This window comes from Homo sapiens, chromosome 16 (genome assembly GCF_000001405.40).
Source record: "Homo sapiens chromosome 16, GRCh38.p14 Primary Assembly".
Classification (NCBI taxonomy): domain Eukaryota; kingdom Metazoa; phylum Chordata; class Mammalia; order Primates; family Hominidae; genus Homo; species Homo sapiens.
Genome location: NC_000016.10, coordinates 77,354,569 through 77,381,075, shown reverse-complemented (window position 1 = coordinate 77,381,075; position 26,507 = coordinate 77,354,569). Strand labels below are relative to the sequence as shown.

The window sequence follows — 26,507 nt, the reverse complement described above, 5'->3', positions numbered from 1 at the left end:
ATGGTGAAACCCCGTCTCTACTAAAAATACAAAAATTCACCAGGCATGATGGCAGCACTTGTAATCCCAGCTACTCCGGAGGCGGAGGCAGGGAGGGTTGCTTGAACCCAGGAAGTGGAGGTTGCAGTGAGCTGATATCGTGTCACTGTACTCCAGCATGGGTGACAGAGCAAGACCCTGTCTCAATAAATAAAATAAAATATAAAATTAAAACAACAAAAAACAAATAGAGCTGCAGTGAGAGTCAGTTGAAATTCTGCAGATAAAATGCTATGTGCGGTGCCTGGTGCATAGGAACCACTGACCCCCAGATGGGTATGTTAAAGGAAGGCAGGGAGAATAAGAAGGAAGGGGCCATACCAACATCTGTTGATTATGATTAAACCACTGAGATTAATTTATAAATGCTGAAGCATAGGTTATGGCTGCTTATAAACTATATGCATTTTAACATTTTTACATTTAATTTTTTAATATTAAAATGTATGCAGTAGATGTTAAGAATATCAACCATTTTGCTATTAGTACATAGAGCTTAAAAAGAGTTTCTTAGAGGTACATACTCTTTTGAGAATGGGCACAGGCATAACTTGGACAGAATCTGCTTATACTTTCCAAACCAATACAGAGTTTTGAATACAGCCATGACGCTGTATTCTGGTCTCATGGGATTTGAGCTGTTGAAGTCATTAAGTGTTTATTTCAGTAGAGATTATAATTAGCTAAATCAATTTTCATCAATATGTTATTAATATCTATTAAGAGCTGCTAGATGACATTTACATCCGTACAGACGGTTATAGTTGAAGGGCTTTGAAGACAGAGACTGAATCTGTTAATCTTTGTGTCAGGAGCATAAACCACTGCATATAGTCAAAGTCATGTTAGTTAATGTTGTTCTGGAGCCCCAGTGGGTTAGTGAGTAAAGTGAAAGGATAATTCATTTTGAGCCTATTGGAGTATTTGAAGTAGCTGAACATCCCAGGTGAGGGAAGAGAAGAAAGCCAAGCATTTCTGAGGACCTCGGCAGCAAGACTTTTGGAACCTTTTTTCTAGTCTACCGTTATCAGCATGACTCAGAAAGTCACAGAGACTGAGAGTGCATAGACACTGCATGCCAAGATTGGAGATCAGGATTACTTGGACAAATCAACTTTGCCCAGTGATGCAGCTGCGTGAACCACAGGCGGAGAGGACTCAGTGAACATCTGTGAAGTGACCTTGAAGTGCTCAGGTGTTCACTGGGAAGGGGAGGGCCTTTACCTGACTCATCTTAAACAGATAGGGGCAGACACGGTGGCTTACACCTTTAATGCCAGTACTTTGAGAGGCCGAGGTGGGTGGATTACTTGAGGTCAGGAATTTGAGATCACCCTGGCCAACATGCTAAAACCCAGTCTCTACCAAAAAATACAAAATATTAGCCAGGTGTGGTGGCACGCACCTGTAGTTCCAGCTACTCAGGAGGCTGAGGTGGGAGAATCGCTTGAACCTGGGAGGTGGAGGTTGCAGTGAGCCGAAATAGCTCCACTGTACTCCAGCCTGGGTGACAGAGTGAGACTTTGTCTCAAAAAATAAATAAAATAAAAATAAACAGATAGCCAGCATATAAGGTGACACCTCTAGTCCATGGTCACAGTCTATTCTGCCACATTCTCCATAAAGTCCACTTTGCTTAGTTCTCCCAGCAATAGCCATTCATTTACTCTTTAAGGCCAGTAGCAAGCGTTCTTCTCCCCATGATGCTAGCCAAACCAAAAAGAGATTGTTGCTGCTTTTCAGTGGAGCAGGAGGATAAGAGATTGAGCCTTCAGAATGGACGAAGGCTGGAGTTAAACATTTGAATTGGTGAACCTTATGGTGGTGAAGTTAATAGGCCCAAGAAGGCGCCTCATGAGAGAAGCAGCCTCATAATTTCCTTGCCATTGGTCACTTCTCTTTCCCATCCCCACCAAAACACACCAACCAGTCAAAACTAAAACCTAGAGTCCTTGGATTGATCATCTGTCCAAGGTAGAAAAATTTATGGTTTCTCTTCTGTCTTTAAATATCTTCAGTTACTTCTGTAAGAATTTCATCAATATGTGTCTTTTCAGGTCTTCAAACCTTGCTTAGTTCTTTCATTGTTTTTCTCAATAAACTGAAAGAATATTTATGCTACTTCCCAGAATTTCAAGTCCAACTGAAGGGGAAAGTTATAATATAAACACACTGTTAGAAAAAGGCCAGACTTCTTGACTTCTTGTTCCCTCAAATAGTCAAATGTAATAATCATAATGATAATAAATATGTATTGAGTGTTATATATGTCCTGAGCACTATTTTTAGCACTTTTATTTCTTTTTTTATTTTTATTTTTTTGAGACACAGTTTCACTCTGTCACCCAGGTTGGAGTGCAGTGGTGTGATCTGGGCTCACTGCAACCTCCGTCACCTGGGTTCAAGTGATTCTTGTGCCTCAACCTCCCAAGTAGCTGGGATTACAGGCTCACACCGCCATGCTTGGGTAATTTTTGTATTTTCAGTGGAGTCAGGGTTTCGCCATTTTAGCCAGGCTAGTCTTAAACTCCTGACATCAAGTGATCCACCTGCCTCAGCCTCCCAACATGCTGGGATTACAGGTGTGAGCTACCGTGCCCAGCCTGTTTTTAGCACATTAAAAGTATTAACTCATTTAATCCTCTAAAAAATCATCTAAGTAAAGGGCTTGGTTTTTTTTTTTTTTGTTTTTTTTTGTTTTTGTTTTTGTTTTTGAGACAAGGCCTCACTCTGTCACCCACTGGACAGCATTGGTGCAATCACAGCTCACTGCAGCCTCAACCTCTTAGGTTAATGCAATTCTCCTACCTCAATCTCCTGAGTAGCTGGGACTATACCACATGCCACCACACACACCTGGCTAACATTTTATTTTAGTAGAGATGGATCTTGTGGTGTTTCCCAGGCTGATAAACTCCTGAGCTCGAGTGATCCTCCTGCCTTAGACTCACAAAGTGCTGGGATTACAGGCATGTGCTATAACACCTGGCCCATTGCTGCTGAATAAAATCCTAAACATCCTTTTACCAATGGTTTTCCTCAAAGACTTTCTCAGCATTTTCTTTACTTAGTCTTTAATTTTTCTGATGTTTCTTTCCCTCCATCCTCACCCCAGCCCCTGGACTATGAATTTCTATTTCATATTGATTATACTTTAAGTCTTTCCCTTATTCTGAACTGAGATTTCTCATTTGGGGCTATTCTTGTACATGTTGGGCAACAAATCAATGACTTACTCTTTAGTGTTCTTGCTTAGATTTAAAAAAATTTTTAAAGAATGTGACATCTTGACTGAGGTAAGAGCATTTTTTAGTTGTTGCAGATAGATTCAAAATTAAAAAGTGAAAAATAAATTAATTATTGATGACCACAAATATGTCTTTGCTAGTATTTTTCCAGGCAGCCTACTGGGGCTACTTTGTACTATCTGTGAATTAGTCTTTACTAAAAATAAAAACAGAATAATGATACTGCCCATGGGGCTGTTTTTATTATTATTTCAAATACTTCTTTAAGATATGCTTACATCATTCTATTTGAAGTTCTGGCTCTATTGTTACAAACATTATTCGTTCATTAGATCTTTTAAATTTTGATTATTTAATAGGTAGAAATAGTGGGATACAAATCACTTAAGACATGGTCCCTGCCTTCAGGAAGCTTATTTATAGCTTCCTAATTTTCTTGATCTTTAAAGCTCTTCACACTGAACTATTAAAAATTAATTGTGCACTCATCCTAACACTGAATTTGTCAGTTACATCTGGAGGCTGCAGTCTCCCTTTTTCTGTTAAATCTAAAGCCTGTGATGGAATTGAAATATGACCAATGAAGAGTATATTTTAAAGGAAACTTTAGGGAAAATTCATAAAGTGTGATTTATACCTGGCATGAGTCCTTTAAGAATTATTTTGGCCCTTGAGGCCGGATGAGGTGGCTCATGCCTGTAATCCCAGATCTTTGGGAGGCTGAGGCAGATGGATCACTTGAAGTCAGGAGTTCAAGACCAGCCTGGCCAATGTGATGAAACCTCATCTCTACTAAAAATACAAAACCTAGCCGAGAGTGGTGGTGGGCGCTTGTAAGCCCAGCTACTCAGGAGGCTGAGGCAGAAGAATCGCTTGAACCTGGGAGATAGAGGTTTCAGTGAGCTGAGATCACCCCACTGCACTCCAGCCTGGGTGTTGCAGGGAGACCCTGTCTCAAAAAAAAAAAAAAAAAAAAAAAGAATGATTTAGGCCCTTGAAATCTAAAATAGAAAACACCTGTTCACAAATAAAACACTTGTTTTTTTCTCATTTTAAAGAATAAAACATTAAACTATTTAAATAGAATATTGACTCTGGGTCAGAATCAATTTAATTTTTAAGCTTTAGCAGCTAAGTCACATAATGGAATTTCTGTATCTTCTGGAAAAGACAAAACACAATGCAGGAAGAAGCAATGTGAGTTGACCCTGCAGCACACAGAGTCCAGTAGCGGGCGCAACCCAGTCCTTTCCCTCGGCTTGACTCTTGTCTCTTGAGGGGAAGGGGTTGGTTCCCTGGGTGGAGAGTTGGGGCAGCTCTTCCACCACCATCAACCTTTGGCAGCCACATCTAAGTGGACTTGGGGCCTGATATGGTTTGGCTTTGTGTCCCCACCCAAATCTCACGTGGATTTGTAATTCCCAGTGTTGGAGGAAGGGTGGGAGGTGATTGGATCTTGGGGGTGGATTTCCCCCTTGCTATTCTCATGATAGTGAGTTTGCATGAGATCTGGTTGTTTAAAAGTGTGTAGCACATACCCCTTCACTCTCTCTTCCTTCTGCTCCAGCCATGTAAGATGTGTCTGCGGCCGGGTGCAGTGGCTCATGCCTGTAATCCCAGCACTTTGGGAGTCTGAGGCGGGTGGATCACCTGAGATCGGGAGTTCAAGACCAGCCGGATCAACATGGAGAAACCCCGTCTTTACTAAAAATACAAAATTAGCCGGGCGTGGTGGCCCATGCCTGTAATCCCAGCTACTCAGGAGACTGAGGCAGGAGAATCGCTTGAACCCGGGAGGCAGCGGTTGCAGTGAGCCGAGATCGTGCCATTGCAGTCCAAACTGGGCAACAAGAGCCAAACTCCGTCTCAAAAAAAAAAAAAAAAAAAAAAAAAAAAAAGGAAAGAAAGAAAAAACGACATAAAACCCTTTGCCTTCTGCCATGATTGGAAGTTTTGAAAGTTTCCTGAGGCTTCCAGTCATGCTTCTTGTACAGCCTGTGAAAACATGAGCCAATTATACCTCTTTTCTTTATAAATACCCAATTCTCAGGTAGTTCTTTATAGCAATGAGAGAACGATGAATCCAGGCCTTTCCTGTCCTTTATTGTAGGAGGAGCCTAAGGGCGTCCCCAGTCCATCTCCTTCTTAGCAGGCCACTTGGTCTCTGCTTTCTTCCTGTTCTCACCACCCCTTCCGCTCCTTAGCTCTGAGACATCAGTCTCTCAGTTCCATCATGGACTTCCCCATCGTGGACCAGGAGAGGACTTCCGGTCTCACAAGAAATGCCTCCTCAGAAAAGTGTTCCGTTACCTCCCCTCTAAAATTAGCTTCCCCGCTCCTCTCACCCCTTCTATTATTTTATCTCATGGAACTTTGCTCTTTTTCTTCCTACTTATTTTATTTTTTTGAGATGGACTCTCTCTCTTTCACCCAGGCCGGAGTGCGGTGGTGCGATTTTTTGTATTTTTGGTAAAGACGGGTTTTCATGCCTGTAATTCCAGCACTTTGGGAGGCTGAGGTGGGCGGATCCCCTGAGGTCAGGAGTTCGGGATCAGCCTGACCAATGTGGTGAAACCCCGTCTTTTTCTTTACACTTTATACAGAGGAATAATATTTCATTCCCATTTGTGATATTTGCTGGTTTAGCCCCTGGTTCCCCCATTGAATTGGAGGCCACGGGAGACCACAGATCTGTCTCATTCACTGTTACCAAGCCAGACTTTGCTTGTTTTCGATATCTCAAAATGCTTTAAACACTCCACAAATAAACAGATGGTTTCTTTTGGGTGTATTGGGTTTATATTTTTAAGCAATAAAATGTATTTATTTGGTTAGATTCCAAGGTTTTCTATCAAACTAAAGCAGAAAAATAATACTTTTCTTTTTTAATATCTAGCACTGTAAAATTCTTGTTTTGTTATAAAGAATTCTTCTAGATTTTTGTCCTTGTCACTCTGAATAGGAAGATGACAGGCTATGTGAGACAAAGTGTTTGTCTCAATATAGGATGCCCATTATTATTATTTTTTAAATTGCTTTCTCAGTGTGGAAGTTTTCTCTATGCATTTGAGTTGTCTGCAGTTTGCATGTAACAGGGAGAAAATAGAAAGCTTCCAAACCGGTTAGTCCAGTTAAAGCACTTAAGTGGCTTAAGCCTTTGATATTAGTTGAGCCAAGTAAGGAAGTTAGTAAGGCTGGAGGGCTTTCAGGGATAATTCACTTTTTTTTCCTTCTATTCTGTGAGGGACTTTAAATGGTGTTTTTGGTCTGCATGCAGCTTGAAAGAGGTGAGGGCATGGAGAGGGTCCTTCTCAGAGAATGAGGGACCTGAAATTCTGCCTGTGCTTCCTGCTGGGTTTTCCTCCCAGGGAGTTGTAAGGTTAGGTTAAGGTATTGCACTGAATGCTTATGGCTTCACGTCTGAAATATAGACAAGTTCATGTGCATTATAGTCTTGAAATTGTCACTTCCTATGTCTGGTTTCCTTCTCTGATATTGGCATGCCTTCAGCATCACCTCCACTCTGAAAAAAGTCTGGGGATGAAGAAACAATTTTTTTTTTTTTTTTTTGAGATGGAGTCTCACTCTGTTGCCCAGGTTGGAATGTAGTGGTGCAATCTCAGTGCGCTGCAAACTGCTCCTCCTGGGGTCAAGCCATTCTCCTGCCTCAGCCTCCTGAGTAGCTGGGATTACAGGTGCCTGCCACCACGCCGGGCTAATTTTCATATTTTTAGTAGAGATGAGGTTTCACCATGTTGGCTAGGCTGGTCTATAACTCCTGACCTCACGTGATCTGCACTCCTTGGCCTCCTGAAGTGCTGGGATTACAAGTGTGAGCCACCATGCCCTGCCTGGAGAAACAAATATTTACTAGCTGATAACAAGTGGCATGCATCAGAGATACTCAGGTGACCCCTGCTGTCACAGAGTGTGCAATAAAACTGCATATGAGGGATGGTGGGGAGAGGGTTGCATTTTGTTTCCTTATTGAAGATAGACATAAAGCCAGTAAACTGTGACCTGAGATTATTTGGAAGTGAGAGAGGATAATTTTCTTCATGTTATTTTTTTATTTCCATAGGTTTTTGGGGGACAGATGGTGTTTGGTTACATAAGTAAGTTCTTTAGTGGTGATTTGTGAGATTTTGGTGCACCCATCACCACCTGAGCAGTATACACCGCACCCAATTTGTACACTTTTATCCCTCATCTCCACTCCTACTCTTTCTCCCAAGTCTTCATAATCCATTATATCATTCTTATGCCTTTGCATGAGAGAGGATAACTTTTTTTTCTTTTCTTTTCTTTCTTTTTTTTTTTTTTCTTTTTTGAGGCAGGGTCTTGCCCTGCCGCCCAGGCTGGAGTGCAGTGGTGTGATCTCAGCTCACTGCAACCTCCGCCTCCCGTGTTCAAGCGATTGTCCTGCCTCAGCCTCCCGAGTAGCTGGGACTATATGCCTGGCTAGTTTTTGTATTTTTAGTAGAGACAGGGTTTCACTGTGTTAGCCAGGATGTTCTCAATCTCCTGACCTCAGCCTCCCAAAGTGCTGGGATTACAGGCATGAACCACCACACCTGGCTGAGAGGATAATTTTCAATAGGGTCGTGAGTACGGCTTCTCTGAGAAGATGGTGTTTAAATTGAGACATCAGCAATGAGCACCAGAAAGCCAAGTGAATTGATAGGAGAAGACTGTAGGGGAAAGAAAAAAAATGTGTGAAAATGCCATTTAGTATGGAAGAAGTTACTAGGTTCAAAAAGTGAAAGGAGCGTCCTGTTTAGAATGGTGTGAGAAGAGGAAGAGAGGACAGATAAAGCTGGCAGGTTCTGCAGGGAGTTGATTATGCAGAGATTAGTGGGTCAGGAATTTGTGATTAATACCAGAGTGAATGGAAGAAGTTGATTAGTGCTGGACAAGGACTCTGGCTGTTGTGGGGAAACCCTATTGGATAGGACAGGTGGGATTTGGGACGTCAATAGAAAGTGTCCAAATAAGAGACGCGAGCATCTACCAGCATGATGTGTGCTAGATCTGGAAGGGTGGGCTTCTCTGAGGTATATCCTGAAGATATGATGGCTGGGATTTCTCGGGTTGTGAAATCTGAGATTTTACTTATCTTGCCTATTGATTCTCTTGTCCCATAATCTTCATAAGGCCACGAATGTGAACCATTTCATTTACTTGTGTACCATTCTTGTTTATGGCAATGCCTGAAACAGGACCAGGACTCAGGTGCCCAGCATGTGCTTGTGAATGAAGACTCCGTCTTTGATTTCAGGCTCTACACATCATGTCGATGCCACAGCTCCTGAGATGACTATCCTGTGTTACCACAAATTACAAGATTTCATGATCTTAATGGCTGGATAGTATTCCATTGTGTATATATACCACATTTTTATTTGTTTGTTGACAGACACTTAGACTGATTCTGTGTCTTGGCTATTGTGACTAGTGCTGCAATAAACACTGGAGTGCAGATATCTCTTCAACATACTGAGTTCATTTCCTTTGAATAAATACCCGGTAGTGGGATTGCTGGATCATATGGTAGAACTATATTTAATTTTTAAAGGATCCTTCATACCATTTTCCATAATGGCTATACTAATTTACATTCCTGCCCACAATGTGTAGCAGTTCTCATTTCTCCACATCCATGCTAGCATTTATTGTCATTGTGATAATAGTCATTCTAATTGGGGTGAGGTAATATCTCATATGGTTTTGATTTGCATTTCCCTGAAAATTAGTGATGTTGAGCATTTTTTTCATATACCCCTGTTGGCCATGTATATGTCTTTTGAGAAGTATTTATTTAGGTTTTTTGGCCATCTTAAAAATCAGATTATTATTGTTATTTTTTGCTGATGAGTTGTTTGAGTTCCTTACATATTCTGGATATTAACTCTTATCGGGTACATAGTTTACAAATATTTTCTCCATCTGTGGGTTGTCTCCTTAGTCTATTGATTGTTTCCTTTCTTGTACAGAGGCTTTTTAGATTGATACACTTCCATTTCTCTGTTTTTGCTTTTGTTGCCTGTGCTTTTGAGTTTTTCTCCAAAAAATCCTTGCCCAGACCTATGTCATGAAGTATTTTCCCTATGTTTTCTTCTAGTAGTTTCATATCTCTTACTTAAGTCTTTAATCCACTTTGAGTTGATTTTGACATATGGTGAGAGGTAAGAGTCAAATTTCATTCTTCTGTATATGAATATCCAGTTTTTCCAGCATTATTTGTTGAAAAAACTGTCCTTTCCCCACTGTGTTTTTAGTGCCTTTGTTAAAAATTAATAGGCTGTAGATGAGTAGATTTATTTCAGGGTTCTCTTCTGTTCTGTTGTTTTATGTGTCTGTTTTATTCCTATGCCATGTTTTTTTGGTTACTGTAGCTTTCTAGTATATTTCAAAGTTGAGTAATGTGATGTTTCCAGCTGTGTTCCTTTTTGCTCAAGATTGCATTTGCTCTTCAGGGTCTTTTTGTGGTTCCATATGAATATTAGGATTGTGTTTTCTTTTTTCTTTTTCTCCGTTTTTGTTTTTGTTTTTGTTTTTGTTTTTGTTTTTAATTGAGTCAGAGTCTTGCTCTGTCACCCAGACTGGAGTGCAATAGAATGATTTCGGCCCACTGCAGCCTCCACCTTTCAGACTAAGGCAATCCTCCCAGCTCACCCTTCCAAGAAGCTGGTACCACAGGCATGCACCACCACACCTGGCTAATATTTGTAGTTTTTGTAGAGACAGGGTTTCACTATGTTGCCCAGGCTGATCTCAAATCCCAAAGTGCTGGGATTATAGGCATAAGTCACTGCATCCAGCCTTGTATAAACATTTTAAAAATATTCTTTCAATCCATGAACACAGAATATCTTCTTATTTATTTGCATTCTCTTCAATTTGTTTCATCAGTGTTTTATAGTTTTCATTGTAGAGATCTTCACCTCCTTGGTTAAATTGATTTGTGTGTGTGTGTATATGTATATATATATATATATCGTAGCTATTATAAATGGGATTGTTTTCTTGGTTTTTTTTGAGACAGAGTTTTGCTCTTAATGCCCACGCTGGAGTGCAGTGGCATGATCTCTGCTCACTGTAACCTCCGCCTCCTGAGTTCAAGCGATTCTCCTGTCTCAGCCTCCTGAGTAGTTGCGACTACAGATGCCCACCATCATGCCCGGCTAATTTTTGTATTTTTAGTAGAGACATGGTTTCACCATGTTGGCCAGGCTGGTCTCAGACTCCTGACCTCAAGTGATCCACCCACCTCGGCCTCCCAAAGTCCTGAGATTACAGGTGTGAGCCACTGCACTTGGCCACCTTCTTGATTTCTTTTTCAGATAGCTCACTGTTGGCATATAGAAATGCTACTGATGTTTTGTGTTGATTTTTGCGTCCTACAACTCTACTGTGTTCCTCTATTCTAATAGTTTTTTGATTGTTTCTTTAGAGTTTTCTCTTTATAAGATCATGTTATCTGAAAACAGGGACAATTTGGCTTCTTCCTTTCTAAGTTGAATGCCCTTTATTTCTTTCTCTTGCCTAATTGCTCTACCCAGGACTTCCAGTACTATGTAGAATAGAAGTGGTGAAAGTGGGCATCTTTGTCTTGTTCTGGATCTTAGAGGAAAGGCTTTCTTTCAACTTTTCCCCATTCTGTAGGATGTTAGCTGGGAGTTTGTCATATATGGCCTTTATTGTGTTGAGATGCACTTTTTCTATACCTAATTTGTTGAGAGTTTTTATCATGAAGAGATGTTAAATTTTATCAAATGCATTTTTTTGCATCTATTAAAATTATGTTTTTCGTTGTTGATTCTGTTAATGTGATATATCATGTTTGTTGATTAATGTATGTTAAACTATTGCAACCCTGAGATGAATTCCACTCGATCATGGTGAATGATCTGTTTAATGTGCTGTTGAATTTGGTTTGCTAGTATTTTGTTGAGGATTTCCACATCTGTGTTCATCAGGTATACTGACCCGTAGATTTCTTTTTGTTCTTGTCTGATTTGGGTATCAGGGTGATGCAGGCCATGTAGAATGAGTTTGGAAAACTACCCCCTCTTCAATTTGTTTTCAATAGTTTGCAAAGGATTGGTATTAGTTCTTCCTTAAATTTGATAGAAATCATCAGGGAAGCCATCTGGCCCTGGGCTTTTCTTTGATGGGAGACTTTTTATTACAGATTAAATCTCCTTAACTCGTTATTGGTTTGTTCAGATTTTCTGTTTCTTCATGTTTCAGTTTTGGTAGACTGTGTTTGTCCAGGATTTCTCTGTTCTTTCTTAGTTTTCAAATTCATTGGCGTTAACCACCTACATCCAAAATTAGATCCCAAAAATAACCCAACTTAATATTGCACCTCAAGGAATTTGAAAAATAACAACAAACTAAACCCAAAATTAATTAAAGGAAAGAAATAATAAAGATCCAAGCAGTAATAAATGAAATTTAGACTGAAAAAAGAATGTAAAAGTTCATGAAACAAAAAGTTGGTTTTTTAAAAAGATAAAATTGACAAATCTTTAGCTTAGACTATGAAAAAAAGATTAAAATAAAGTCAGAAATGAAAAATGTGACATAACTGATACCACAGAAATAAAAAGGATCCCATAAACATGTGAGGATATCAATAAAGCATAGACTTTGATCCAGCAGGTTTGGGGTGAGGCCCACGATTCTGAATCCCACAGGTTCCTGGGTGAGGCTGAAGCTACTAGTCTGCAGATTACACTTTCCCCAGCAGGGTCTTGGGTATCAGGGAACTCTGATATCTAGAGAAGATAGAGTACAACATTTGCTGAAAGAAAGACAAGGGTGCATCTTGGCTGCAAAATCAGGTACGAAGATATCCATACTGTGCCATCAACTTGGTAAATGAAATTGTGATTAAATGGGCTTCCCAGGGTCTCCCCTTTCTTCTTGATTTGGTAAATATGTCTCTTCATTATAGCACCACTCATCAGATTCTCTAGACCCCCACTTAGAGATCACATCACTCATGCCTTTCTCTGCCATCCTTGCTGATTTTTTTTAAAAACATTGATTTAGCAACTGTGAATCAAGATGGGCCAGAACTGGTGGCTCACACCTGTAATCTGAGCACTTTAGGAGGCTGAGGTAGGAGGATCACTTGAAGCCAGGAGTTTGAGACGAGCCTGGGCAATATAGACCGCATTTCTGAGCATAGTGGTGTGTACCTGTAGTCCCAGCTATTCAGGAGGCTGAGGCAGGAGGATTGCTTGAGACCAGTAGGTCAAGGCTACAGTGAGCCATGATAGTGCTATTGTACTCCAACCTAAGGGACAGAATGAAACCTAATCTCAAAAAAAAAAAAAAAAAGAAAAAAAGAAAAATCAAGTGTGAACCACTTGAGAATGAGTGGGGGTATTTTTATATTCATCACTCTATCCAGTGGTGAACATGGCATCTGCCAGGTCATAAATGCAATGCAGCAGAATGTCCATGGCTCAGCCCTTCAGGCACAAACATCAGGGCTGGCAGCCCAGTGGTTGTGAGCCCTGCCTCTGAAAGTAGAGAACTCTGGGTGCCCATGCTAGCTTTCCTACTTACTATCTTAGCTTCAATTTTCTCCTTTGTAAATGGGGGTGGTGATAATAGCAACTTGTCCAGCCAGGTACGGTGACTCATACCTGTAGTCCCAGCATTTTGGGAGGCCAAGAGTTCAAAACCAGCTTGGGCCACATTGACCCTGTTTCTATAAAAAGTGTAAAAGTGATTTGGCCGTGGTAGCACGTGCCTGTAGTCTCAGCTACTCCAGAGGCTGAGCTGGGAGGATCACTTGAGCCCAGGAGGTCAAGGCTGCAGTGGGCCATGTTTGTGCCACTGCTCTCCAGCTTTGGTTTTAAAGTGAGACCTGTCTCAATAATAATAGCAACTCGTTGTAATGGTGCAGATAAAAATGAGGCAATATGTGTGAAGCTTTTAGCTCCTGTGCCCACATACAGGAATTAGTCAGAAGCAGTTGTTGAAAACCAACCCTTGGCACAGGGATGCATGGAATCATGACTGTTTGCTTTGTGTTTGGCTTTTTAGTCAGGTTTAATAAGGACACGAAAAAATGAATTCCTCATCTCGCCATTACCTCAGCTTCTGGCCCAGGAACACAACTACAGCTCCCCTGCGGGTCACCATCCTCACGTACTGTACAAAAGGACAGCAGAGGAGAAGATCCAGCGGTACCGTGGCTACCCCGGCTCTGGCCGGAATTATCCTGGTTACTCCCCAAGTCACATTCCCCATGCATCTCAGAGTCGAGAGACAGAGTATCACCATCGAAGGTTGCAAAAGCAGCATTTTTGTGGACGACGCAAGAAATGTATGTAAGGAAACTTTTTCTTTTTCTGTTCTTATGTGGGCCTCGACAGGTTTTCCTGAGTGCTGTTGGGTGTACAAGCTTTGCAAGTCAAAATGGGGCTACCCTGAGCATCTGTCTTGGTGTAGGACCAGTAATTATCTCTCTCAGGCAAATGCTGGATGATCAATTATTCTAGGTTAAACTAGGAAAGATTTAGATAAGGTTTCTTTTTTACTCTTTTAGTATCTCCTACTTTCATGCCATAGGTCCCAGTCTTGATTTCTGTGCTTCCGAGAAAAGTACCTAGATTTCCAATGACAAAAGAAGACAGAGGTAAATGTCTAGGTGTGGTTGGATGTCTCCTTTGAGGACACAAAGGAGAGACTTCCAGAAACAAGAACATTAGCATGTGAGGGAGGTAGCTGTGAAACACAGGTATCCTTGAGCATGGTTTGTGACTTAGTTACAACCTTCGGCCGTTTCCAGACCAGCGATGTCCAATAGAAATGTAACACGAGCCTTAAATACAATTTTACATTTTCTAATAGCCACAAGTTTTAAAAGTTAAAAAAAAGGGTAAATGAATTTTAATAACATTTTATTTAACCCAACATGTACAAAATATTATCTCAACATGTAATCAGGATAACAAATTATTAGAGAGTTACATTATTTTTTCCTGTTAAGTTTTGGAAATCCAGCGTTTATTTTAAACTTACAGCACTTAAACCAGTCGATTCAGATGATAAATTTTTATTGGAAATACTTAATCTGCATTTAACTTGTATAAAATTAAGGTCAAAAAAGTAGATTTACATACTCAAGTTGTTTGGGACATACTTAAAACATTTAAAACATTTTCTTTTTGCTTGTTTTTTTGTTTTTGTTTTTGTTTTGTTTTGTTTGAGACAGTTTCACTCTTTCGCCCAGGCTGGAGTGAAGTGGCGCGATCTCTGCTCACTGCAACCTCCACCCCACCAGGTTCAAGCAATTCTCCTGCCTCAGACTCCCTACTAGGTGGAATTATAGGCGCACGCCAGCACGCCAAGCTAATTTTTGTATTTTTAGTAGAGATGGGGTTTCCCTGTGTTGGCCAGGCTGGTCTCAAACTCCTGACCTCAGGTGATCCACCCGCCTCGGTCTCCCAATTGTTAGCATTAAAGGCATGAGCCACTGCGCCCAGCCAAAAGATTTTCAATAGCTGAATCAAGTATTGCTTTTTAAACTTTTAAATTCTTCTGTGGCTCAGTAGCTGTGCATGGAAACTGTGCGCCAAGTTGGATACCACAGCCAGAAGAAGTTTATTCTCATGGAGAAGAGGAACTGGTATCACTAAGATATTAATCAGGAGGAATAATGAAAGAGTTTCTACCATTTTAACTGGTTTTTGAGTTTTTGGTATTATTGAAATATCCCCATTAAGGGGCATCCATTTAGCATATATAGAGTAATGATTTAGCCTGTATTAATGATAGTAATGATGTTTATAGTGGTAAGACATGTTTGATATGAGACATCAAAGCAAATCTTTACAACAACCTTATAAACAAGTGTCACCTGTTTTCATAGATAAGGAAACTGAGGCTCAACGTCACTGTGCTCATAAGTGGCCAACCTGAGTTTTTAAATCTAACTCTAAATAATTTTATCTTTTAATTTTACTCTGTAGGGAGCTAGTTTCACTATTACGGCTGGACCAGTGTTACAGTACTAAACTATTTCTGTACTAGTTAGTACACAGTTACTTCCCTGAGCTTTCCAGGTGCCATTTTTCTTCCCAGGAATGCTCGTAGTTGTGGCTGTCCATTAACTAAAGGCATCATGTCTGGCCGAGCAGGCACTTCTAGGTCTCTGCTCAATGGCTATGGCCAGTATCCATTCTGTTAACTTGGTGCGCACCCTTTGCCAGTTATGAAAAGTGTTTAATACAGTTTTTAATATCATCCCCAACTATGCTGTTTCCCTAATAACTAAGTCATTGTCACATCAAAGAGTTCTTACTGAGTGCTTCTTATGTGCTATGTTAAAGTCTGTGTTGATGAAATGAGAGTTTAAGACATGCCCACTATTTTAGAGCTGTTTACATTTTATTTAGAAAATAATGTATAAAGTGGTATATTTAATGAATTCAAAAATAATAAATTTAGATCCAAAGGATTAACACTATTTCTGCAGTTTTTGAGTAGTAAAATGAGCATTTTCTGCTTTCAAAATTTCTCCCCACAAAATTGATTTTTGTTGATCCATTCTACTAACTAGAATTATAGCTTGTTTTTGTTGTTTGAGATGAAATCTCACTCTGTCACCCAGAGACTCTATCTTAAAGGTAAATGCGTAGGTGTGGTTGGGTGTTTCTTTTGAGGACATAAAGGAGAGACTTCCTTATGGACTGCAGTGGGGTGATCTTGGCTCACTGCAACTTCTGCCTGCTGGGTTCAAGTGATCCGCCTGCCTCAGCCTCCCAAGTAGCTAGGATTACAAGCATGCACCACCATGCATGACTAATTTTTGTAATTTTAGTAGAGATGGGGTTTCACCATGTTGGCCAGGCTGGTGTCAAACTCCTGACCTCAAGTGATCCACCCACCTTTGCGTCTCAAATTGCTGGGATTACGGGCGTGAGCCACCACGCCTGGCCTAGAGCTCTTTTCTCTTCTTTTCTTTCCTTTGCTTTGCTTTGCTTTCCTTTGCTTTCCTTTTCTTTCTTCTTTTCTTTTCTTTCTTTCTTTTTTTTTCCTTTTAGAGCATTTTTGAGTTACTAAGTTCATCCATTATCCATTTATTTCTACCCACCTACCCATTTATCCATCCACCATCCATCCATCCACTCATCCATCCATCTATCCTGTCCATTCCATCCATCTACCCATCTGTGCATCCAAACATTTATTGAGTAGGCCCTTCTTGACCACATACTAGATGCAAGGCACCTGGGCAGGCACTGATAGCATCACTTGTTAGTGGATTGGTGGTGTGTTGGTTACATAGTTTCTCTTCTTCCCTTGTTTCAGTTTCTCTCTCAACTGTCTTATCCAGATATTCTCTAATATCCCTTCCAAATGCTCTTCTGTTCATCGTAGATGCTCCCAAGCCTCCCACAGAGGACACCTATCTAAGGTTTGATGAATATGGGAGCTCTGGGCGACCCAGAAGATCAGCTGGAAAATCACAAAAGGGCCTCAATGTGGAAACCCTCGTGGTGGCAGACAAGAAAATGGTGGAAAAGCATGGCAAGGGAAATGTCACCACATACATTCTCACAGTAATGAACATGGTAAGCGGGGGTGTCACAAACCTTCTGGCTCTCCAAAGAAAATAAATGTCATGGAATTCTCTTGCATGGGTTGAATAGCAGGTGTATTAGGTCGGTGCAAATGTAATTGCAGTTTCTGCCATTACTTTTAATAGCTACATATGTGGTTTTATTTTTTTAAGTTGAGTTTTGAGGAAATTGTATTTATATGTACATATATTTGGTAAAATTAAAGCCTGCGTACTTCAGTCAATATGTCTGATTGATTCCCCCTAAGGTTTTGAAAATTTTGAGATTTTGTTTGATTTCCATTGTTCCAACAGGTTTCTGGCCTATTTAAAGATGGGACTATTGGAAGTGACATAAACGTGGTTGTGGTGAGCCTAATTCTTCTGGAACAAGAACCTGTAAGTGGCAAACTTCATTTATGTCTTCATTCAGTCTGCCGTTCAGAATACATTTCTTGAACACCTACTGTGTTCACTAATCCATGTACTAGTCGTTAGCTGCTCAAATTTGAAACTAGGCTGACTCTCCTCAAAGTACAATTTTAAAAGATTGTGTAATCACACAATTAAACTAAAGCACCAGAAAAATATTTATATTTAAATATATTTATATATGCATATGTATACATAAATAATGGTACATAAGTACTAAATAATATACAAATAGATAATATAAATAAAAATATGAAATATAAATATGTTACATAAAATAAATCTTATGTAGGCTTCGCAAAGCAGGTGAATTTGGTCATAGATTTAAGGATTAGCTAGATTTTGCAAGTTTGATATGCTGAGTGATTGCTGGTAGATGCAGAAGGATATTTCAAAAATATACTGAAAATAAGACATCAGAAAATTATTGTAGTAAACCTACTGTATCCCCAGTACCATCTTAGGTAATACAGGGAATAAACAAGGGATATTTAACTGTCCTTGGATTGATCACAGTAAGATGCAAGACACAAACATGGGGCAAATTATGAAAACCAGAACATGTAATAAAGTGTTAAATTACATGGTACTCACTGCTTTGTAGTGTTTTGATGTTTAAACTCTGTTTCTCTGAGATAGCGATTACCATTCAAATGGCTATTTTTTAAGTCCCCCGAGGCTTTTCCTCTTCTTCTGTAACGCCAGTAAAAAACATAAAAAGCAGGAAGACACAGACAAGACAAAAGTTGATCTAATTGCCCAGGTGTGGAGAGCTACAGAAGTTAACAGCTTGTCAAATGGTTTTTGGAATTTTAGAAAGACAGAAAAGGCGTGTGCTGGTTAGGAGACACTTTTGTCTTTAGCCTACTAATAGGTTGCCCAAGGACCTTGAAGCCAGCCACATCCTAATTAACTGATAATTAAAGATCTTGTCTAAAAACCTTCAACTTGGCCAAGTCAACAGCTTTGACCAAGCAAACATTTGACAAATGATTATTTTAAGGGTAGGTCCTCTCTTATCCTTTGGAATCATATCATCATTTGTTTATTCATTCAGTGAATTTTCATTATATTGATTGATTGATTGTAATCTATGATGTGCCAGACGCTTTGCTGGGAATTTTGACATCTATGGAAATAATGATGAGGCTTTATGGAAAAGCCATTGAACTTCATCATTAATTTATTATCATGTTTTAAAAGTTGTAACGGTTTTATAAAGGTAGTACTAGGTAAGATGAACAAAGGTGTTCTAACTGATGCTAGGTTATTTTTTGTAGAACTATGATCAATCATAAATCACACTACAGAAACTTTGTAGTTGCTTTAAATATTGTGAGCATTTACCTAAAATAGAGATTTTCCTGTCTCCTACCTTAGCTCAAGTGTTTACTGATCTTTTTCCCTAGAAATATGTTTCTGTGTTTGCCTGTACAAATGGAATGATTCAGCATTCTCATCTCTGTGACAAATTCACACTTTGATTTGTGTGGGTTTCCCATAGGGAGGATTATTGATCAACCATCATGCAGACCAGTCTCTGAATAGTTTTTGTCAATGGCAGTCTGCCCTCATTGGAAAGAATGGCAAGAGACATGATCATGCCATCTTACTAACAGGATTTGATATTTGTTCTTGGAAGAATGAACCATGTGACACTCTAGGTATGGTATGAACAGATCCTTCACACACACCTGTTAGCTGAAAACACAGTATGGAAACTTTCTATGGATGATGGATAGCCCTTATGTTCCTTAATAAACAGACATAATATTTAAATTATGGAGTAACCTAATGTACCCTGTGGTGACTATTGTTCTTTTTAACTGAACTTAGAATGTGGGGAGCCCACTTAGTTTATTCATTTTGTATTTTTTTTAATTTGAGATGGAGTTTCACTCTTGTTGCCCAGGCTGGAGTGTAATGGCACAATCTCGGTTCACTACAACCTCCGCCTCCTGGGTTCAAGCAATTCTTCTGCCTCAGCCTCCCAAGTAGCTGGGATTACAGGCACCTGCCACCATGCCTGGCTAATTTTTGTATTTTTAGTAGAGACGGGTTTCCACCATGTTGGCCAGGCTGGTCTCGAACTCCTGACCTCAGGTGTTCCGCCCGCCTTGGTCTCCCAAAGTCCTGGGACTACAGGCATGAGCCACCTCACCTGGCTTGTATTTTTCTTTATTGATCCTACTGATGATCATTGAGGTGTGAGATACATTATTTAACTAGAAACTTGTAGGTTATTCTGTAAGCATCATGACCACAGAATCAGGTAGCTGAAGAGGATTTTACTGGGCTCCATGGTACCTAACTGTGCCACTAGGTAACAGTGCCTTTTTTAGAAGTTACTTGACTTTGAAGTACTCATTTCTTCCATATTTGTACAAGACAGTGATAGCAAGAATTGCATCTTTTATATCTATACTATATTCTAGTATATTCCATTGCACATAATAGGAATTCAACATTTTTTAAAAGTTGATGGATGGCTGTCTAAATCAGGAGTCAGCAAACTTTCTCTGTGAAGGGCCAGACAGTCAATATGTTAAGCTATGCAGGCCACAGGTCTCTGTGGCAGCTAGTCATTTCAGCTGTATTGTTCAAAAGCAGCCACAAGTAATATGTAAATAAATGAATGCAGATGTGTTTTAATAAAACTTTATGAATTTTTTTTATTTTTTTGAGATGGTGTCTTGTTCTTGTCACTCAGGCTGGAGTGCAGTGGCGTGATTTCGGCTCACTGCAACCTCTGCCTCCCATGTTCAAGTGATTCTCCTGCCTCAGCCTCCAGAGTAGCTGGGTTTACAGGCACCCACCACCACACCTGGCTAATTTTTGTATTTTTAGTAGAGACGGGTTTCACCATGTTGGCCAGGCTGGTCTCGAACTCCTGACCTCAAATGATCCACCCACCTCAGCCTCCCAGAGTGCTGGGATTACGGGCATGAGCCACTGTGCCAGGGCAGAAATTTTATTTTTTATGTTTCTCAAATTCTCTGCAGTTTCTCTGTTATGTCCTATAAATAAGTTTATTTTAACAATTAACCATTAATCACAGTCTTCAAAAACACAATGATTTTGGGAATTGTTCCATAGAAAGGGTTTTTGTAATGAAAGATGGTATATATCCATTCATATTCTGAATTTGGAATGTGCAAAGTGACATATGATAATCCAGTGCATTGTTTTCAAGAGAGATTCTGAGAAGCAGACAGTGTTATCTGTTATCCAGAGACCAAAATGTACTAAAAGGCTTGGAAAAAACAAAACACCAGAAATTCTATCAACTGTGGAAAAGGTCACTTACTTTAAGCAGTGTGTCCTAATGCAAAGGGCATGGGCTTTGACTTCCCATATGTCTGTGGTTGATTCCTGAGTGTAGAATTTATGACTCTGAGATCTTGAACAAGTTAATTCACCTCTCTGAGCTTTGGTTTCCTAAGCTATAAATACATACACACACAGATATATAATAGACATATAGCACAGTGTGTGAATTTGCAACCATTTATTTAGTGACGATGACGATGGTAGTAATGATAATGATCCCACCCCTTATTTGTGCCTTTGTATTAGATTTCCCAGCTGATCTCACTTCCGTCTTGACAATGAAGTGGGTACAATCCATTCACAAGCATGCATTTAATATTAGATGGGTACATAGATTTGTTCTACTGATTATTAGGACCCAAAACTGGAAAGAAAGATGTTCGCACACACTGTATTGTATTTGAAGATAGACTTAAGGGCTGGCCGGGATGCTTTTATAATGGCTCTTAGAGGGAAGTAACTTTGGGAACAGAAGCACTTACCACATTATAAAGAACCAGAGAAAAATGAATTTAATCTGCACATGTTGCTTAGACATTTTCATGTTTTCTGCTCTAGTAAAAGACCAGGATATGTGTTTTTCCTTGGAAAATACACCCTGAGCTGTGACGTTAATGCCACTGTTCAGTGAGCATTTTGCATTGGTTTTGCTATCATTCTATCCGTTGCTCTGACCTGAATGATAAACTCAGACAAGGCATATAAATATTCTGTGACTTACTAAACTAAATGTAAAATGGGAATTACAGTACTCATACTGACCTTACAGGGCTCTTACAAGGATCAATTGATAACAATATGTAACAAAAGCAAGAAAATAGGAAATGTTGCATTTATACATTATCATTACACAGGACAAAGAACTATAGATCTTTTTTTTTTTTTTTTTCCAAAAACACTGAATGCATTGATCTATTAAACTAAAACTGTGTAGAACATTTTGAGGACATAAATCATCATCATGTATCTGTGTGTGCAACCTTTGGATTCACATTTGAAACTGCTCTTTCAATAGGGTTTGCCCCCATCAGTGGAATGTGCTCTAAGTACCGAAGTTGTACCATCAATGAGGACACAGGACTTGGCCTTGCCTTCACCATCGCTCATGAGTCAGGGCACAAGTAAGTGCCTCTTTGAACCACTACTTTATGTGAAAACTAGTTGGGTGATTCATTGGTGTTCCTCTAACCGTTGTTGTTGACTTAGGCAGAACAAAGAGGATCAGTCTTGTGTAAAGCTTAGAATAGTTTCTGACTATACAAAGGGCTCACTAAAGGCTAGCTGTTGTTGATTTCATTCTCTTTAAACAGCAGCACTTAATAGCCACACAGTACTCCTTCGTGTGCACAGATGGGGTCTCTGGGCTGCTAGGCATTTGTTTATTTTTGTTCATGTTTTGCAGCAATGAAGACACTTCTAGCTGATTCTTTATGCACAGGAAGTAATCATGGAGAAAAATTAATTCCCAAAGTATAATGGCATGCTGCTTTTTAAAAAAACTTTTGCTGCATGTACTGAATATTCTTTTAGTTGGCAACATTGCATGTACTTAATATTCTTTTGATTGGTGTCACTAAATCTTCCTTTTATGATGGAGACAACGCTATAGAGAATTTTCAAACATTAGAGCAATAGCAGCTGCATTGGAACAAGTATAATACTTTACAAAATAATTATTTCAATGTGTAGTACTCTTCAGATATACCAGTTTAGGATGTTTGTGTGTGTGTACTTGTGTGTATATTTTATTCAACATACAGGAAATAACTCATATATTTTCAAAGCATCTAGTTAATTTTTGACTTAAAAGCAAACATCATTCAGTAACCATAGTTGGTATTTTTATATGTTGGTGCTGCTATCTTTTTTCTTTTTTTGAGACAGAGTCTCCGTCTGTCGCCCCGGCTGGAGTGCAGTGGCACGATCTCGGCTCGCTGCAACCTCCGCCTCCCGGGTTCAAGTGATTCTCCTGCCTCTGCCTCCTGAGTAGCTGGGATTACCAGTGCCCACTACCATGCCTGGCTAATTTTTATAGTTTTAGTACAGATGAGGTTTCACCATGTTGGTCATGCTGACTACAGGTGATCTGCCGACCTCGGTTTCCCAAAGTGCTGAGATTACAGGTGTGAGCCACCACGCCCGGACAGTGCCAGTATCTTCTATGAGCTACATTTATTATCTTTAGGAAATTTAAACCTTGATCATTGTTGTTATTGTTATCCAACAAATTTCCAACATTATTATACACACACACACACATTTAGACACACATGCACACTTTCCTAGATATGAATAAGCCAATTTTTAAAATTGTAAATGGAGAAGCGAAAATGCTCACTAAGAACAATGCTTCTCATACAAAGCAGGAAACAAAATATGTGTGCATATCAAATGTATGTCTAAGTTTGTTTTACCAGCATGAAGTCCAACCGAACAGGTGTCACTTTTCAAAATACTGGTCATTGAAAAATTTCATTATCTTTGCATATGTGTTAAAATTATCCAAAATCAAAATCCAACATTTTAGATAAGGAAAAGCAGAACATATTCTTCAGGTAGGATTCAGGAGAGAAGTCAGAGGTTGGGGGAAGGACAGATGGTAAAATAAAATACATACCTAAGTTCTAAATAACATGGACTTAAGAAGTTCTGAAACAGACAATTCCTGAGATATTTATATGGCATTTGGCATGTGCTAAAGAAAATATGTTATCATCTTCTAAAATGCTATTAAATTAAATTTAAGATTGTTAAGTTCAAAATTAAATTCCGACTTGATTTTCTTACGCACATAAAATTCCACTGAAGTTCTAAGTAAGTTCTTTTCCTCTAGCGTAATGGCTTCAATCTCTCCTACCCCATCTCTGTTTCTGGGATTCTTGCTGTTTCTTCTCGTGCTTTATTTATAGGTTTCTTTCTGTTTTTTACTTTCACAAATATATTTAGAAAGGGTGTCTCCCAAAGAAATCCCCTTAACGTCTTGGTTAGGTGAGAAGAAGAATTAAATTGGGAAAAGCTGAGGATAAGAAAATGCTTTCACTGAGTATACATTGACGTTAGTCAATACCTATTTTTGAGTGGTCACCTCTGAATACCTAAGGAAGTCACTGATAGGATAGCATACAGTTGCCCTGCTACTATTTTCCTGACAAAGTGGAAGGAATGCTGGAAAAATGGCCATATTATAGACATGGGTCACAAAAAAAGTCATATCTTTTATCGTAACATATTTATTTGGTATAGACTACTTTCAAAGGCGAACTCTATAAATGAAATTATATCAGGATAACATTTATTTACATAGGAGTCATATCTGCCTTATAAATATATGGTCTAAGACACAAGTTTTATTCTTTTAAATAATGAGATTAAGAACAATTTAAATTAATGATGAAATTCATATTTATATCCTTCCGTCCTCTGCATCCCTAAAAAAAAAAAAAAAAAAAAAAATTTCAGAAAAGACTTTTCTCTGTGCTGAATTTTTTAGAGAAGATCAAAGACTCTTATTTCCCCATCTTCTACCACTTTAACATCGCCTGAAGTAAGCTTTGTCTTTATGGTATGTATCCTATGTGGGTATGCACATTAATGTCACATTTATTCTTCCTGTCAGGAAATTTGAGAATTCTTCAGGTATAATGTGCATGATTTCTAGACAGTAGACCACCTAAAGTTTTTCTTCTATAATTACTAGACCCTTCTGTGATGAAACAAATTAAAGTTTTCTCATATAATACATCTGAAAGATAACAGTAATGGTCAAGATTTAATAGCCTTCAATAAAGGGGTTCAAGCATGTTAAAAAAATGTTTATTATAAGAGAGTTTAATTACAATTAGAGTTTGTGATTTCAGCTAATAAATTGATCATAGTTGGAGAGAAGTTTTTATACCATGCTAGCCTTATATATGAACAGTTCATAAACAACTTATAATCATCATCTCTCTGTACTTACTTCCTACTGACTCTGAACTTCTTTACCATAGTTCCGTGGTTGGTGACAAGATAAGAATTCTACTGTTTGAAACTAAATAATTTGGCTGTTCCATCACTTTGGCTTAGCTTATACCTAAATTTTAACTTGAGCAAAATTTTCCAGCCCATAAAACATGTAGCAGCTAGACCATTCTTTGATTCTGTGGTCAGGAAATAATATAACAAAGCCCTCAGCATTTTTAAAGTTTTCTGTGTGAATTTTATAACAATCTATAGTAATTTGCCTTTCTCTTTTCCAGTTTTAATAACTCTGTCTCTCACTTGGTTTTGTTGATGATCAATACATCTTTATTCTTCCTCAGATTATCCTTCAAAAAAATGGGTTCACAAAGCAGGATTTTGTTTTCTTCATTCTGTTTCAGCTTTGGTATGATTCACGATGGAGAAGGGAATCCCTGCAGAAAGGCTGAAGGCAATATCATGTCTCCCACACTGACCGGAAACAATGGAGTGTTTTCATGGTCTTCCTGCAGCCGCCAGTATCTCAAGAAATTCCTCAGGTATGACAGGTTAAATCCTGGGGTGCTCCTAGGTTTGGAGTGATGACAGAATTGTGCTCCATAGACCTGCAAACGAATACTCAGTGGAAATACCTTTTGACCTGTCAATAAACAGAAAGACAAATGATGATGATAATGATGATGGTGATGATGACATTGTTGAAAAAAATAGATTGAAGCCTAATGTTGTGCTAAATGTTCTCCACATATTTCCTCCTTCAATCCTCACAGCGATACTATTATCCTCAATCTAGAGTTGAGAAATCAAGTCTTAGGTTAATTGTGTTGCATAAGGTACTATCGCTGGTAAGTTGCAGACAGAAGACTCACACTTAGATCTGTTCTGACTCTAGGATCTCTACTCAACCATCTCTCCCCTGTGACTTCCAGAGGCTGCTAGGTATATTGTCTTTTTACTGTGACTAATTATTTCAATGTTATCGATCAATGTGTCATAGAGTATTTTAAAAATGCTCAAATGGTATGAGTGTGTGTTTGTGTTTTAATGAATAGAGCATTTTCTTCTTTGACTATTATGTTTGAAATGGCCAGGAGCTAGCTTTATGTCCAAATGATAGCCAAAGAAGATGGTAGCTATATAAAATGCTTTTAATAACACAGAAACCTTAAGTTGCATTAGTAAAAGTAGGAGTTTGGAAAGTTGTACTATTTAATTCATATTAAACAATTAACCCAAAGTTGAAATACACACACACACACACACACACACACACACAATCCTACCTTTATAATCTATATTGACCCACAAGGACACTTAGATGCTAATCCCATATCTCTTTGAACAGATGTTAGTGAAATTTCTTTGGGAATTGACACTTTTGATACTTTATTTTTAACCTGTACCACTGTGTATTATTTGCAAATGTTTAAAGAATTAGTAAGATCTATACACAAAGCATATTAAACGTGAAGATATCTAACCACATATGCCCAAAGGGTGGTAAAAAATCAACAGACTTTTTGTTAGTAAGCTTTGCCATGAAGATTTTCCTATTAGTTTTAAATTCATGGTTTGGTGACTAAAATTATTTTTTCCAACTCATGTAAGAATGCAATTAATAAGTATTAAAATCAAGATCAACTTAACATAGGCTGAATTTCCGTTAGTATGTAGTTAAATGCTTTTGTAGTTAAATGTTATAATAATGATAACAGCAGCAGCTAACTTTGCTTATTATGCTTTATGAAGCATGTTATATTTTCTCATTTGAACTGTGTAACAACCTTTATGAGAGTCATTGTCACTCATGAGCTGTGTAAGAGCTACATAACTTGGTCTTGGTTGCATGGTTGATTAGGACCCCCATCTGTCTCACTACAAAATTACACTTAACCACCATGATAATTAAC

General features: G+C 38.8%; 1 protein-coding gene across 4 annotated transcripts in view; it reads left to right on the top strand.

Annotated features, from left to right (window-relative positions):
* Positions 1 to 26,507, top strand: part of ADAMTS18 (ADAM metallopeptidase with thrombospondin type 1 motif 18) — a 152,907-nt gene that overhangs the window by 53,959 nt on the left and 72,441 nt on the right. For 2 of the 4 annotated variants that reach the window (NM_001326358.2, XM_047433672.1), the window contains 6 exons: positions 13,353 to 13,639; positions 16,695 to 16,888; positions 17,191 to 17,274; positions 18,812 to 18,971; positions 21,653 to 21,758; positions 24,999 to 25,136. In NM_001326358.2, coding sequence (NP_001313287.1) covers positions 13,378 to 13,639; positions 16,695 to 16,888; positions 17,191 to 17,274; positions 18,812 to 18,971; positions 21,653 to 21,758; positions 24,999 to 25,136 — 944 coding nt within the window. In that variant the 5' untranslated portion in view covers positions 13,353 to 13,377. Of the gene's footprint in view, positions 1 to 13,352; positions 13,640 to 16,694; positions 16,889 to 17,190; positions 17,275 to 18,811; positions 18,972 to 21,652; positions 21,759 to 24,998; positions 25,137 to 26,507 lie in introns of those variants that run through there. The other 2 variants (NM_199355.4, XM_047433673.1) reach the window with 2 other exon arrangements.